This window comes from Homo sapiens, chromosome 8, assembly GCF_000001405.40.
Source record: "Homo sapiens chromosome 8, GRCh38.p14 Primary Assembly".
Taxonomy (NCBI): domain Eukaryota; kingdom Metazoa; phylum Chordata; class Mammalia; order Primates; family Hominidae; genus Homo; species Homo sapiens.
In genome coordinates, this window is record NC_000008.11 from 120,289,974 (window position 1) to 120,307,395 (window position 17,422).

The 17,422-nt window shown below is 34.7% G+C and overlaps 1 protein-coding gene across 11 annotated transcripts in view; it reads left to right on the plus strand.

Moving 5' to 3' along the window:
- COL14A1 (collagen type XIV alpha 1 chain) overlaps window positions 1-17,422 on the plus strand; it is a 249,120-nt gene that overhangs the window by 165,520 nt on the left and 66,178 nt on the right. For all 11 annotated transcript variants that reach the window (NM_001413490.1, NM_001413491.1, NM_001413493.1 and 8 more), the window contains 2 exons: window positions 7,538-7,615; window positions 10,759-10,845. In NM_001413490.1, the coding sequence (NP_001400419.1) occupies window positions 7,538-7,615; window positions 10,759-10,845 (165 nt within the window). The remainder of the gene's footprint in view (window positions 1-7,537; window positions 7,616-10,758; window positions 10,846-17,422) is intronic.

Sequence of the window (17,422 nt, forward strand, 5' to 3'; positions counted from 1 at the left end):
CTTGTGGTAGTATGCTTCCACTGTATTATATGGAATATGCATTAGGAATTAGGCTAGTTTATTTTCTAAGTGCATTTTAAAATTTAAATAGTAAAATATTCATCACATGGTTTGGGGCATAAATGGTTTTTAGAAAAGAATTACAACTGCAAATGAACCTCATTTATATAAGCAAATACAAATCCACACAAAATTAGTGAATATTATACACAGGAAATTGACATAAGCCTCTTATTTGGGTTAGATTTGGGCATTTTAAAACTAGGTTTTGCTATCACTAATGTAAAGTTTACCCTTTAATTATTGTGATTATTGAGTAACATACCATTCTAAGATAATATATTTTTTACCTTACAACATGGAATTTAAATCTGAGAGACTTCCAGTTGGCAAAGAAATCACATTCCCATCACTCATTACCCACAAAAAAAAGAATAGTGCACACAGTTTTTTGTGTTAATACTGTGTATTCACAGCTAATTAGCAGCATTCTCTAATTTGAGTCATTCTATAGTGAGGCATTTTATTCTTGTAAACAATCCCAACTGTTCTAATCTACACTTCTCTTATGTAATAGAACAATCAAGATAATTATGAATTACTATTGTCTCCCACTTTCATAGATCTGTAGAATTAGCCAGTTATACAAGAGCTGGTAGTTCTCCAAGACTTTTAAAGCTGAAGATCACTTTGTAAAAATGAAATCCTATACTATGTCAAATAAATAAAACAGACCCATGGTTCTAATTCCACTACCATTCACTTAGTACACAGGAAATAGTCCAAGTGGGAGAGTGATTTACTTTGGGGCACTTTGCTATTTTGCAGCATTTATTTTTGTGGTAACAATAGAAGTGAATGGTAGCAATGTGTCCCCTTATGTATAGGGGGACACTGAAGCTTTCAGACCTTGATAGGTAGATGATGCTAAGTAGTTTAACACTTACAGTTGAAGTATCTTTAAAAGTTCCTTTGTTTCTACTTTGCTTTGGAGAATTATGGATTAGATGTTTAGGAAGAGAATGTGAAAGCTATGGAAGGCTCTCTTGTTCTCAGTTACAGTAAGAGACTTTTGGGAATGTTTACATGATTTCAAAAACTTGTCTCCTCCTAATGTGTGGCATTTCATGATAATTAAAAAGCACACCATCTTCTGCTTAATGGAGGATACTCCTATGATAGTACATGAAGGAATTTATAAAAACACAGAATTATCAAACTAAGGATATCTTGTATGGATAAATGGATATATAGATGGATACTTGGATGATGAATGAATAGACTCTAATTTAAGAAAGAGAATCCGGGCCGGGAGCAGTGCCTCACGCCTGTAATTTCAGCACTTTGGGAGGCCGAGGTGGGTGGATCATGAGGTCAGGAGATCAAGACCGTCCTGTCTAACATGGTGAAACTCCGTCTCTACTAAAAATACAAAAAATTAGCCGGATGTGGTGGCACGCACCTGTAGCCCACCTACTCGGGAGGCTGAGGCAGGAGAATTGCTTGACCCCAGGAGGCGGATGTTACAGTGAACCAAGATCGCGCCACTGCACTTTAGCCTGGGTGACAGAGCAAGACTCCATCTCAAAAAAAAAAAAAAAAAAAAAACCAAAAAACCACAAAGAAAGAGAAACCATTCTAGGTATATGAGATTCTGGGCCCAGATCACATAATACTATTATTAATATTTTCTTAATTTTAGAAATAACGAATATAAAATTCCTGAAAGTTAGTAGGCGTTCACTGAAGAGCAACTATTATTATTGAAGAAAGTCTATAACACATTCTCCATCCTCCATCCCACCTTTTCTAGACTTCTAGCACTTGATTATTGATAGTCACATACTATTTTGTTTCTCTTTCATATATCTACATTTCACTCCTCTAACCAGATTATAAATGCCTCAAAATAGAAACCGCGTCATTGTCTTTGTTTAAAACCACCCTACATCACAGTGTCTACTCAATACTGATGAACAGAGTAAGTTCTCAAGAAACATTTGATAGAAATTAAATAGAATGTTGTCTGTTCAAATTGTATTATATCTTTTCTTAAAATTTTGTTTTGCATATATTCCATGTGTGATGTTGACAATAGTCCCATAATATATATTGTACCCTCTCCTAATTATTTTATAATTATAATATATTTCACAATGATAGTTTTACAATTGTATTTTAACGTATACTGTATGTAATAATTATGCTCCAAAGATATGACCAACTAAATATCAACTAATTTCTTTCTGAAAGTAAAAATGCCTCAGGTTTCAGGCCTACTGGTGATCAATCTTTACTTTTGGCCATGAGAGAAATGGAATTAAACAGAGCACTCTCTGTGGTTATTTCCAACTAGTAGTAGACAAAGGAGAATTATAGAAGTCAATAATTAAAGAGTTCTTTGTAAGGCTAGTAGGAAAAAAGTCATAGCATTTGTTGAATCTAGAAGTCTACAAAGGATTACTAACTAGATTTTCAGTCTGCCCACTTACTGAAGAATTTGATTATGTTGAAATGAATGTATTAAGTTAGATCTCAAGAATGTGATTGGAAACTCAGACTTGCTTTTTGAGGGATATTACTTAATCATTTCAGTACAAGGTAAGAGAAGTCTCAGTTTTCAATTTTAAATTTAGAAATCACAGACTGCCAATCTAACCTTGATATACATTTGTACTCTAATATCCAGCAAAAGGGAATGTATGTTGTGCAAATTCTGGATTATTCTAGGAGGAGTAATTATTATATAAGAGAGATTAGTAACTTATAGGTCTCCATTCCCTGCCAAATCCAACAATTATTCAATAAATGCCAGATGGTGGAAGTCTAAACATTTAGTCTTTAAAGAAACTGTATTCTTTTTAAACCATAATTGAGTGGAAGATAGATTAATGCATTTAAGGATACAGTAACTACTCGATAGAAATTACGTTCTTAATAAAATCAACTGGTGTTCAGCAATGCAAGATTGTATAGGCAGTAACAGTCTCTACTGGGGCTAACCTAACAAGCAGGCTTAACTTAGCTGTCTAAATACATGTGGAATGAAACTTAACAACTGTGCTTCTCCTTTCCAAACTTTTTTCTCCTAAAAAGTTTCTCCTGCATTTTCTGGTACCTAATGAAATGATTCTAGAAAAGTTTTGAGCTTCTGGCATACAATCATATTTCTTAGTGCCTTTCTTCTACCTTTCAAATCTAATACTTAGGTAATTATCCAACTGGCATATATTTAGCTCCCTGCTGTTCAAATAACAGAGACATATGAGTTATGCTATGGAGTTGCCTATCATTTTAGCCACTGAGTTACAGCTTTTATATATAAATCAATAGTAGACTAGTTGATGATTCTACAAACACTTGTTTGAAAATAAGTGTTGTTAAATTGCTAAAAAATATAGTATATTTTCATGTGAATTATCTATTTTAAGCTTTTAAAATTATAATGATAGCTAATAGTTATTACATCTCTGCTAGGAGCTAGGCAGTGTGTATTTTCCTGGGATTATTTCATTTAATCCTGTAATAATCCTTGAAAGAGGTACTTGCATCTTCCCTACTCTGTAGATAGAGAAACTGAGACTTTAAGAAGCTAGGGTCAGGTCCCCTTTCAAAAAGTGAGAGTACTGAAATAAGAGACTGTATCCAACTTCTATAAGATCATCTGCCTTTCATTCCTGTGCTTCTTCCATTAGGACAGACTCTGATAATTATAGAATAAAGGCAGAGAAGGAAGTTTGGTTTGTACTAGAGACTATATGTCCTATCTGTACATTGACAGGTTCAAAGATTTACCATTATTTGAATTACAACCTTGAGAGCAAAGTAATCAAAACTACCCCCCAAGTGTGTCTATACCTTAAAATTCTAATTAATACCAACAAGTACAATAGCTATGAATTTTATTTTCTAATTTAATCAGTGCCTTCGTGGTTTCCCTTAAATTCAATAAATTGATTGAAAACAAGTTAAAAACAATCAGTTCAATAGTTGACAAGTGGTAAATGCACAATCTTAGTTTTGTGATGGCGTCAATAAAGGTTAGACATCAAATTACAAACAGAAAATGGTTTAGTTCCTCTGTACTCTTTCACCAGTATTCTTGTGCAGTGTAAAGCTCTCTAGATATTTATATAAATTCAGGTACAGCTTTACTTCAAATTATAAATTTAGTTAAAACATGTTAGAAAAAAAAATCAGAGAATAAAATTTGGCACTGAGTGGAAAATGGAGCCAGAGGTACATTTTAATTCCCATTCACAGATCAAAATGACTCAACTGCTAAGAAATATTTTAATCTTATTTTCCTGCTAACATTTGACCCCAAGTGACTTGCCTTTTGTGCTATACCAGGCAAAAATGTCTAACAATGAAAAATGAGCATTTGTAGTTGCTCATTTCAAGTATTCCCTTGAAAGAGATTATGAAAAGTGAAAGTGGGAGGTTTTGTGTCTCTTCCTCTTTTTTTTTTTTTTTTTGCAAAGATGTATCTTTTATAATTTTCAGTGAGTTACAAAAACGTTACAAAAGTAAAAAAGGGCTGCTTCTTGGATTAGTTCTCTAAAGTATTATTTATTTTGAGCCACACTATCTTGCATTTTAAGGTACTCAAATATGAGATCTTTGACATACCACCTTGTACTGTCTCCTGTATAATTTGCACAAATATGTATGTCATTGCTTTTGGAATAAAAGCCAAAGGCTTTTTTTCTCTTTTAATCAATCCCCTGAAATGTGCCTTGGAAAAAAAAAGTCCCTAAATAAAGGCTGAGGAATCTAAACTATTACAAGTGCAAACAATTATGAATAAATCTGTTGTACTCAAAGAAAAAGCTGCTGACATCATCTAACTTGCAAAAGAAAAGTCAGCCCACGTAACATTCCTGAAATTATAATATTGGCTTCATTTAGCACTTAGTAAGCATTCAACCCCGGAATAAATAAATTGAGCTCCTAAGAGTCCCAATAATTTCATAAGGCAGAAGTCCAGTCAAAGGTTTGTAATGTAGACATTAGACTGTTATAGGTGGTTAGGTGGTAGATGTTTATTTGAAAAACTTCAAGAAATCCTGATGTATACTGGGGCTTGTGAAAGGCCTTTGCTTTAAGTAAGTCTTTCCATTCATGAAAATGTTTTTGCTCTGAGGGCTCTACTCAGAAATGGAAAATTTCTTAATGGATAAATGATTTGCAGACTTAGCTGAATCTATCCAATGCTGTCATAATGGGACCTATTTAATAAATGTCCCAAGACAAAATGGCATTGTAAGATTTCATTGGGCTATCTGCATTTTAAACGTTAGATCAAAGATCAGTTTACTGGAAAATAAACCACAAGAAAATGGGGCATGCCATTTAAATCTCAAACAGAACTAAGCCTTCAACATGTGATTACGTTATTTAAACTTTTTCTTCCCCGGTCCTATTCCACAGAATGGACTTTGCTATGATCATACCCCATAGCGGCAATCTGAAGATGTAAAGATATATGCAAAGTGCTTAGGATAGTGCCTGGCATTCATTTCTGCAAATGTTTGTTGCTATTGTTGTTGTTATTTACTAAGATTTTTCTGAATCAAAACATTTCATAGATATTATTATTGTGGAAACAAACTACTATTATATTTCTGTCCTCAATACTGTCACTGTCATTTTGATTCTACTTTTTTGGCCTTTGTATTATATGTACACCTTCTCCTTAAACAAATCAATTATGAGAAAGCTAATATTTATTATTTATAGCAACTATGTTCCAGGTACTGTTCTAAATATTTCCTCTATACTAACTCATTTAATCCTCACAACCACATGAATAGGTACTATTATTATGCTCACTTTACAGATGAGAAAACTAAGATGCCAAGACATTAAATAATTTGTTCAAAGTAACTCAGTCTGTCAGTGGAAGAGTTGGAGATGACACCCAGGCAGTCTAGCTCCATACTCTCAGAATCCGTATGATCTTTGAAATATTTATTGTTAGTGTTGTTGTAATTGTTTATAAAAATAAGCTATAATGTATTTTTCCAAATGTTTTAATTTTATTAGGTGGTGCAAAAGCAATTGCAGTTTTGACATTACTTTTGCACCAACCTAATAAAAACTTAATTTTTTATTGGACATAATTTTTGTTTGTTTGTTTGCCCTGGACAGTCTCAGTTATCATACTCTTGGATGGTGGAGGGGAACCTTAAACCACCTGGAAAAAAAAAGCAGTGAGCCATGCACATATTTCTGCAAACAGCTCAATAAGGTGTATATGGGATCATGAAAATAAGATGCTTTGACTTATGGATTTGCTTTCAAAATTCAGGGGTTACTTTATTGATCAGTTGGAATGAATGTTTGCAATAAGGCATAATTACTTGAGTATAATGACAGAAAGCCCGATTTCATTCTGCTTACTGTCAGAACAAGTTATTTTGTGATAGTGCATGCATTTTTAATAACATGTTTCAATAGTACTATCTACTTGGGCATTACCATTTTTCTAGAAGATGTTTGGCGAAGGATGGATAGTACTATTTGGGAGAAAATAAGGAAGGCACCAAGAGTTTCCAGTCTTTGCTGAAAACACCACTTGCTGAAAGCAAGATTACAGATTTAAAATGAAAACAATTTCATCCTTCTCCCAGATCAGTAATAGAGCACACTCTTAATATTTGAAAATAATGTAGGAAGAAATATAGTAAAAATGATTGGGTCATTAAGCTAGTGTTAGCCCTTAATGATGTTGTAATTATGTTTCTGTATATTTCAACATGTACATTGACTTATCACCAACATACATGAGTGGAGCAAGCCTGTCTAAATATTTATGGCATGATCAATGGCTTAAATAAGAATACACATAGCTTACATTCTCACAATACTGAATGTGAAGCTGTCATGACATTTGCCACATTGTGTACCATATTTATGTGCTCCCCTCTCACTCCCTGTAAGTTCTTCTAGGTCAGGACTATGATTTTTTAAAAAATGTTTGTATCCTAAAAGTCTACATAGTATCTGGCTTATATTATGCACTGAAGAAAAAGTTACTGAGTGTATGTACAAAGGAATGAAGTGATAATTAATTCAATAAGCCTTCCTGAGTGCTTTTTATATGCCACATATTATGATAGGTGACCTAAAGATGAGTTTGGTAATGTAAATAATTGTGTAGTGGGAGGTGTGCTATAGAGGAGGCATATGGAGTGTTGTGTGACTACAGAGTCATTTGGGAGCAGCTGTGATGGGCTTTGTAAGGAAGAGTTTAACAGAGGAGCTAAGCTTACTCTTTAAGTAGAAATGAGAGGGGAAGTTTTGATAAATAAGAGGGTTTAGATGGTGGATGAATAATTGTAGACAAAATCTTAGATCACTATGTGTTTGAGGAAAAAAATTAGTTTGACATTGTTGGAGTTACTTTTTAATTTACTTACTGTAATGTATTATTAATGTATTGGTATTCTGTTATATAATACATAACATAAAATCATTATAAAGATAATTTATATATATTTTATTGAATGACAATTTTCTTTTTAAATCATAGTTCCAGTTACAGATGTTTGATATTGTTTGCTCCACATCATGGGCCAATACAGACAAATGCTGTGAACTTCCAGGCCTGGTAAGAATTCTTCCTTCATTTCTATTGATTTTTTAAATTGTATTTAATTTTCTGGAAATGAGAAGCTATTTCTCAACATTCATATCATAGGCAACTCGTTGAGATGATAAAATTAGAAAGAGATTAATAAAGAGGCATGTCTGAAATTAACAAGATTTCTCCTGTATAACCTAGGATCACATACAGCGTGAACTGCCCAACTCAGAGGGTGCTATTTACACATAGTCCAGATGTTCCCAGATTCCATGGCTCATGAAGCCCTTAGTGTCTCAAGCTTTTTCTTGCACCCCTAAGCCAAAAGAAACACCTTGCAGTTCCATTTATGAAATAATAGGTCCAAACATCTTACTAAATATTTATGTCCTAACAACTCAGTAGCCATATAAAATAACAATGCACATACATTGAAAGAAAAAAGTGATATTTATATTTTATTCTTAAATGACCAAAATTGCTTATTGTTGGGATGTGTGTGCTACCTGAGCCCTGCAGCATTTCTCATATCTTGGGATCACATTGGCCACTGCCATCCTCACTTCTTTTTCTACATTGCTTTTTTCATAGTACTTTCCTTTCATCATAGCAGCTATATTTGTAAATTAGGGCATCATCCAAAAAAAGTGTTGCAAAATCTAATGTTGAAACTGCAGACTACCTTGAGCCTGTCATTCACACGAAGTCCAGTGGGTGCTGAATATTGCTGTACTTCTCTTAAATTTTTAAAACATTCACAGGACCCCTGTGAGCTCAATATAGTGCTCCCAGGCATCTTGGTGTACAATTTTAGAACTGTAGTCATAATCTACATAACCTATATGTGATGCTACTAGAAAACTAAACATTTAAAAGTTATTTATACCAAGTGATGGTGTAAATATTTATGTCCTAACAACTCAGTAGCCCATATAAAATATAATACACATAAATTGGAAGAAAAAATGATATTTATATTTTATTCCTATATAAGCATAATTTCTTACTGATGGGATGTGTGTATACCCATATATTTTATATATATATATATATATATATATATATATATATATATATACAAAAATACAGATTTATATCTTAGGATCCTAGGACAAGTAAGCTGGCACGGACAACCATGTCATGGTTGGGCAGTAGTCATGTCTTAATAATTAAAGCTGGGATTCTCCAGAGCATGGGGAACCCTTCATGAAGTCTGTGAGATTTGACCTTATAACCGTATTAGTTTGTTCTCATGCTGCTAATAAAGACATACCCCAGACTGGGTAATTTATAAAGGAAGGTTTAGTTGACTCACAGTTTTGTACGGCTGTGGAGGCCTCAGGAAACTTACAAACATGGTGGAAGGGGAAGCAAACACTTCCTTCTTCAGAAGGTGGCAGCAAGGAGAAGTGCAGAGCGAAGGTGGGGGAAAACCCCTCATAAATCCATCAGATCTCATAAGAATGTGCTCACTATCACAAGAACAGCATGGAGGTAACCGCCCCTATGATTCATACCTGGCTTACATTATGCACTGAAGAAAAAGTTACTGAGTTGAAAAAGTTACTCCACTGGGTCCTGCCTGTGACACGTGAGGATTATGGGAACTATATCAAGATGAGATTTGGGTGGGGACACAGCCAAACTGTATCAGTAAGACTTACCGTATCAAAAAGCCAAACCATATAAATAAGACTTAACACCTCACAACATCTATTGCAAGCACCAAATTCATGGCAGTCTGTATTTGAGAAGGAAGCAACTTGTTATTTCTTCACCAAAATAAGTTTCTAGTAAACTCTGGAAGAAATTAAATTAGAGACACCTTGATGTTATGCTAAAGGGAAGGTAGATGGGAAACTGGCAGGAGAAACACTCGGAATCCTCTGTTGTATCAAGCAAAGATGTGATCACCACTTTTTCTAGGAAGGATCTTTCTCGTTCCTTTTCTTTTTACTTGTCTCATTTAAGAGGCGTAAATTCCATAGTAAAAAGACACCGTGCAGTAACAGTCAGCAGCACTGGCAAAACTATCACTGAGTCTCTGGCTACAGGTGGCCTGTTGTTAGCCTTATTTTGGGATCTTTCAGAATACTTAACTTTATGTTTCACTCTAGCTGGCCAGATTTCAGGCCAGATGTGTTTATAGGGGGTTTGAACTGAAATATTTTACTGTTGTCCAACATTTAGAGAAAAGTATATACACCATGTAACAGTCCATTTGCTTAACCTTTCTTGGGTTTCTGTTGTGAATATTGTAGAGACTCAGATTATTTTCAATTTGGCAATTTAACTGTCATCTGTGCTCTATTTGGCTCTAATTTTATTTTCCCCCAAAGTCTTAAATAATGACTAGGTTTTTCTCTATCCAAAGGGACTGATGAACTCTGTGAAGTTCTATAGTATTTTATCCCAGTGCTGAGCTCATTTTGGCTGCTGCTCTAAATGGGATATTTACAAATTGTTCAATAGCTGTTAGCAGGTGCTCTGTCTTCCTCTGCATTCCAGTAACTCATTCAGATATATTCAGCCTTCCATTAATAATCTATTTTGTAATGTCACATGACAACAATATTCCCTAAGAGAGAAGAAAAATGTTCTCCTATTCCAGAGCCTCAGATCTACACTGTGATGTTTTTCTTACTTTCAACCACAGAATGTGAGCAGTTGTGGAAATTGTCATAGGGAATTGATGAAGAGTTTAAACATTGATTTTATTTTGTTTTTCTTTGTTTGTTTTAGTACAGATATAGTTGTTTTGATTGAGTACTCCAAGTTTTCCTTTATCCTTTGAAACAGAAAAATTATTGTAGCATAAAAAAGTTTTCAAGACCTTTAGTTCACAGAGTACTATCACTCCAACCAACAGAATTAAATAGTAATCAAGATTTTTTTTTTGTTGCACTCACTTCTGATTGTCTTTCCTCACCTGGATTCCCAAGCTGGTTTTAGCAACACCCATTGATAATAGTGATTATCAGTGACTAGGAGGTACCCATTCATTTTTCTTTACAGAAAAGATTTTGTAATCAGGAGTGAATATTCTCTGCCTTTCTAATGTGCACTTGAAAATCTAAAAATATCTTAAATCAAACTGTTTTCTTTGAGCCAGTAAAGCCATTTGTATAAACTGGCATGCTAATGGTTGTGCTTTTTTTGTTTCTTTTCAGAGAGATGATGAGTCTTGCCCAGACCTTCCCCATTCCTGCTCCTGTTCTGAAACCAATGAAGTGGCTCTGGGACCAGCGGGCCCACCAGTAAGTCTTGCTGAGTTCAGCCTTAAATTTTCTTTAATAATATTAATAGCTATCACTTGTGTGTCTAATATGTGTTGTCTACTGTACTAAATGGCTATTACTCACTTAATTGTAGGAATGCAGTGAGACACAGAGATGTTAAGTAACTTGATTAAAGAACACAGCTTGGAGGAGCTGGGCTGGGCTTCAAATCCAAGTCTCCATGACTCCTAGAGATGATGCTTCTCACCACTGTGTCATACGATGTCTCATACTGGTCTATATTCAAAATCTTCCCTTACAGCTACTGTGGTTAATTTTCGGTGTGAATATTTCAAACCAGGACCTTTACTTGTACCTGTAAGATTTGCATACATCTGCTTTGTCCACTTTCTCTCTTTTTTTAAACTTTTACTTTAGGTTCAGGGGTACATGCGAAGGTTTGTTACATAGATAGGTGAACTCATGTCACAAGGATTTGTTGTACAGATTATTTCATCACCCAAGTACCAAGTCTAGTACTCAATAGCTATTTTTCTGCTCCTTTCTCTCCTTCCATCCTCCACCCTCAGGTAGGCCCCCGTGTCTGTTGTTCCCTTCCTTGTGTCCATGAGTTCTCATCATTTAGCTCCCACTTATAAGTGAAATCATGTGGTATTTGGTTTTCTGTTTCTGTGTTAGTTTCCTAAGGATAATGGCCTCCTGCTCCATCCATGTTCCCACAAAAGACATGATCTTGATCTTTTTTATAGCTGCATGGTATTCCATGATGTATATGTACCACATTTTCTTTATCCAATCTGTCACTGATGGGCATTTAGGTTGATTCCATGTGTTTGCTATTGTGAATAGTGCTACAGTGAACATTCGTGTGTATATGTCTTTATGATAGAAGGGTTTATATTCCTTTGGGTATATACGCAGTAATAGGATTGCTGGGTTGAATGGTTGTTCTGTTTGTAGCTCTTTGAGGAATCACCACACTGCTTTTCACAATGGTTGAACTAATTTACACTCCCACCAACAGTGTATAAGTGTTCCCTTTTCTCTGTAACCTTGCCAGCATCAGTTATTTCTTTATGTTTTAATAATAGGCATTCTGACTGCTGTGAGATGGTATTTCATTGTGGTTTTGATTTTCATTTCTCTCATGATCAGTGATACTGAGCTTTTTTTCATATGCTTTTTGGCCACTTGTATGTCTTCTTTTGAAAAGTGTCTGTTTATGTCCTTCTTTTGAAAAGTGTCTGTTTATGTCCTTTGCTCTCTTTTTAATGGGGTCATTTGGGTTTTTTTCTTGTAAATTTGTTTAAGTTCCTAATAGAGGCTGGATGTTAGACCTTTGTCAGATGCATAGTTTGCAAAAATTTTCTTCCATTCTGTAGGTTGTCTGTTTACTCTGTTGATAGTTACTTTTGCTGTGCAGAAGCACCTTAGTATAATTAGAGCCCATTTGTAAATTTTTGCTTTTGTTGTGATTGCTTTTGATGTCTTCTTTGTCATGAAATCTTTGCTCGTGCCTATGTCCTGAAAATGGTATTGCCTAGGTTGTCTTCCAGGGTTTTTATAGTTGTGGATTTTACATTTAAGTCTTTAGTCCATCTTGAGTTAGTCTTTGTATATGGTGTAAGGAAGGGGTCCAGTTTCAATCTTCTGCATATGGCTAGCCAGTTATCCCAGTACCATTATTGAATAGGGAATCCTTTCTCCATTGCTTGTTTTTGTCAGCTCTGCTGAAGATCAGATGGTCATAGGTATGTTGTCTTTTTTCTGGGTTCTGTATTCTATTCCCCTGGTCTATGTGTCTGTTTTTGTACCAGTACCATACCGTTTTGATTACCATAGCCCTATAGTATAGTTTGAAGTTGCATAACATGATGCTCCAGCTTTGTTCTTTTTGCTTAGGATTGCCTTGACTATCCAGGCTCTTTTGTGGTTCCACATGAATTTTAAAATAGTTTTTTTCTAGTTCTGTAAAGAATGTTATTGGTAGTTTGATAGGAGCAGCAGTAACACTGTAAATTGCTTTGGGGAGGATGGCCATTTTAACAGTATTGATACTTCCTATCCAAGAGCATGAAACGTTTTTCCATTTGTTTATGTCATCTCTGATTTCTTTGAGCAGTGTTATAATTCTCATTGTAGAGATCTTTCAGCTTCCTAGTTAGCTGTATTCCTAGGTATTTTATGCTTTTTGTGGCAATTGTGGATGGGATTGCATTCTTGGTTTGGCTCTTAGCTTGGCTGCTGTTGGTGTATAGGGATGTTAGTGATCTTTGTGCATTGATTTTATATCCTGAAACTTTGCCAAAGTTGTTTATTAGCTGAAGGAGCTTTTGGGCTAAGATGATGGGGTTTTCTACATGTAGAATCATGTCATCTGCAAACAGGGATAGTTTGACTCCTTGTCTTCCTATTTGGATGCCTTTATTTCTTTCTCTTGCCTGATTGCACTGGCCAGGACTTCCAATACTATGTTAAATAGGAGTGGTGAGAGAGAACATCCTTGTCTTGTGCTGGTTTTCAATAGGAAATGCTTCCAGCTTTTGCCCATTCAGTATGATGTTGGCTGCAGGTTTGTCATATATGGCTCTTATTATTTTAAGGTATGTTCCTTCAATACCTATTTTATTGAGAGTTTTTAACATGAAGGATGTTGAATTTTATCAAAAGCCTTCTTTGCATCTATTGAGATAATTACGTGGTTTTTGTCTTTGGTTCTGTTCGTGATGAATCACATTTATTGATTTGCATATGTTGAGCCAACCTAGCATCCCAGGGATGAAGCCTACTTGACTGTGGTGGATTAGCTTTTTGATGTGCTGCTGGATTCAGTTTGCAAGTATTTTGTTGAAGAATTTTGAATTGATGTTCATCAAGGATATTAGCTGGAACTTTTCTTTTCTGTTGTTGTGTCTCTTCCAGGTTTTGCTATCAGGATGATGCTGACCTCATAGAATGAGTTGAGGAAGAGTTATTCCTCCTCAACTTTTTGGAATAGTTTCAAAAGGAATGTTACCAGCTCTTCTTTGTACATCTTGTAGAATTTGACTGTGAATCCATCTGGCCCTGGGCTTTTTTTTTGGTTGCTAGACTATTTATTATGGATTCAATTTTAGACCTTGTTATTGGTCTGTTCAGGGAATCAATTTCTTTCTGGTTTAGTCTTGGGAGGGTGTATGTGTCCAGGAATTTATCCATCTCTTCTAGGTTTTCTAGTATGTGTGCATAGAGGTATTTGTAGTAGTTTCTAATGGTTACTTTTATTTCTGTGGGGTCAGTGTAACATCCCCTTTGTCATTTGTAATTGTATTTATTTGGATCTTCTTTCTTTTCTGCTTTATTAGTCTAGCTGGTGGCTTATCTATCTTATTAATTTTTTCAAAAAACTAACTAACTACTGGATTCGTTGTCTTTTGAATATTTTTTCATGTCTTGATTTCCTTCAGTTCAGCCCTGATCTTGGTTATTTCTTGTCTTCTGCTAGTTTTGGGGTTGGTTTGCTCTTGCTTCTCTCATTCTCTCAGTTGTGATAGTAGGTTGTTAATTTGAGATCCTTCTAACTTTTTGATGTGCGTGTTTAGTGCTATGAATTTCTCTCTTAACACTGCCTTAGCTGTATCCCAGAGATTCTGGTATGTTGTACCTTTGTTCTCATTAGTTTCAAAGAACTTCTTGACCCTGCTTAATTTTAATTTTTTATATATCCTGAGATTATGTTAAAATGTTCAAAATATTAGAACTGTTGTCTTCCTATTGGCTTGTTACGTGAATCATTGTGAATGAAACCATTTAACTTCAGTAATGCTTTTTACTTCAAGTCTGATTTGTCTAATATTAATATAGTTTCAATATTGTCTTTTGGACTCTTTGTCTAATTTTTTAATTTTCTAATTTGTCTAACTTGCATGTTCTCATTCCAGCCAGTTGGAAAGGGAGAAAATGGTTGAGGACAGCATTTGGTTTTCATTTAAGAATAACACCCAGGGTATATGCAGCACCCTTTCTCTCATATTCCATTAGCCAGCACTTAGTCATACCTACTTACGTAGGATTCCAAGAAATCAAGTCCCTAGTTGGATGGTTATATGTTTAGTTAAAACTCAGGGGATTGTATTATTACAAAGAAGCAGTGGAAATGAATATGAGGACAATTAGCAATCTCTGTACAACTGTGAAAACTTTTTTTTTTTTTTTTGAGACGGAGTTTTGCTCTTGTTGCCCGGGCTGGAGTGCAATGGCACAATCTCGGCTCACCACAACCTCTGCCTCCCAGGTTCAAGTGATTCTCCTGCCTCAGCCTCCCGAGTAGCTGGGATTACAGGCATGTGCCACCATGCCAGGCTAATTTTTTGCATTTTTAGTAGAGATGGGGTTTCTCCATGTTTGTCAGGCTGGTCTCAAACTCCTAACCTAAGGTGATCTGCCTGCCTCGGCCTCCCAAAGTGCTGGGATTACAGGCGTGAGCCACCGCACCTGGCCAAAAACTCTTTTAAAAACATTTCAGATGTCAGAAATAAAAATATTTCAGATGAACAAAAACTAATAATTTACCACCAATATTCTCTCATTAAGGAATATGCCTAGGACATAATTTAAAATAAAGAAAAATGATACCAGAAGAAATTATGACCAAAGAAATAGCAAATATATGGGCAAATCTTAACAAATATTAATTTGTAACATATATTTTCTTCACTTTTTATTTGCGACATTTCATTGTCTTTATATTTATATTTTAGATATTTCTCTTTAAATAGCATATGCCAAGATTTTGCTTTTAATCCAGTTTTACAATCTTTCTTTCATAGTCTAGTCCATTCTGTTGGTTGTAATAACTGACCCATTCTGATTTACATCCACAACTTTAATTTTACTTTCTTGGTTTTTCTTAATTTCTTAATTTTTGCTTTTTATTTGTGTTACATATATATTTTTTGCTTGAGATTGTATTTATTTTTGTCTTTAATTTTTGCTTTTTTTGTATTCCTTTTTTCTCCTCCACTAGTTTGGAAAGTATACTCTGTAGCTTTTCTATTAATAGTTAACCCAGAAGTTTCTACCAGATATACTTAGTTTAACAATGTTTAAAATAATCACCATTTCTATCCTACTTTGCCAGTATGATGAGTTGGAATTCTTTCAACTTAGATCATCTTCTTAATAATTTATGTGCTCTTACTACCCAGTATTTTAATACTGTTTTTAACATCACAAATTAGATGTCTTGATTATTATTATTGCTTGTGTGAACTCTAAAACATAAACTTTCCAGCAAGCCTCAGCCATCTTTCCCATCCTTCCTGAAGGCAGTTTCAGTTCACATGTATACTATAGTTTTTTATTGTTTCTTTCTTCTTGGTACTTAAGAATAGAGTTCTTAATTACAGTAGTGTTTTAGCCAGCATTAATACATGTTTATAGCAGGAGGGTTTTCAAGTTTTTTCATCTGTAATTTACTGGAACAAGTGATAAAATATTTATTTGTGACCTAAACAGCAAACTTTCTAATGGGGAGAAGCAGCAGAGATGTGAAAGGGAAGGGTTGAGCTTTGAATTGGAGGGGGAAGAAAGATGTAAAATGAGAAAAAAGCAATTGAAAATTTATATTTCAAAAATTTCAAATAAGGAAATTTTGTATTCTAAATAAAGCGTAATAAACTAAGAAATAGTATCCTGAGCAATATGTAATAAATTCTGTTTGATGATTGAACATTCTTTAATTGTTTTCTCATTCATGAATTTACACAGTAGTATGACGTATCAATAAAACTAAAGGATCTGTAGGAAGGCCTGGATAGAAGAATCATATTCTCTTTGTGAAGTCTAAGCCTCTCTTATTGAAAAAATGAGTGTTTTCGTCAACAAGTATTTGCTGAATTCTTGTGATATGCCCAGTGACAAGGGTTAAGGATGAGGTGGAAAGTAAGTTAGAAGTGTAAAGTGGTCCCTGGCTTTTAGACATGGTGCCTCTGACATGAATATCTGTGAGGTAAACAGTCTTGATTATTATTATTTGAATAAAATCTTCAGTTGAAGATATATTTGAATATATATTTGAATAAAATCTTCAGTTGAAAACAAATCATTTAAGATGCAAAAACAAAATTAAAAAGTTGTGACAGACTGGGTATATTAACTGGGAGAGACTAGGCTGCGAGAAACAGAAAATTTAGCTAACACAGTAGTGTAAACTATGAGGACAATAGGACATTTATTGTTTGCTCAATAGAAGATTTAGAGGGAGATGGTCTGAAGAAGGCAAATGAGGCTGCTAGACGACTTCATCAAGGACTTGTGCTTGCTCTAGCTTCCCATGTTGCTTCTTGATCAAATTGGCCAAAACTGCTTAACACAATGATTCCTGGTTGCAAAGAAAAGCTGAGAAAACAAGTATCTGTCTTTTTTGGCCTTTATCTAGGGATGAAAGGGAAAAGGGGGTCAGAAAAGGCTCTTAGGTAGCCAGCCATAGTTTCTGACACACTGGGGGAAAAACTATAATGAAGCATATATGGAAATCTGATATATGGCACTTGATAGTGGCATTGCAGATCAAGTAGAGAAATGATTGATATTCAATAATGGTGCTGGGACATTT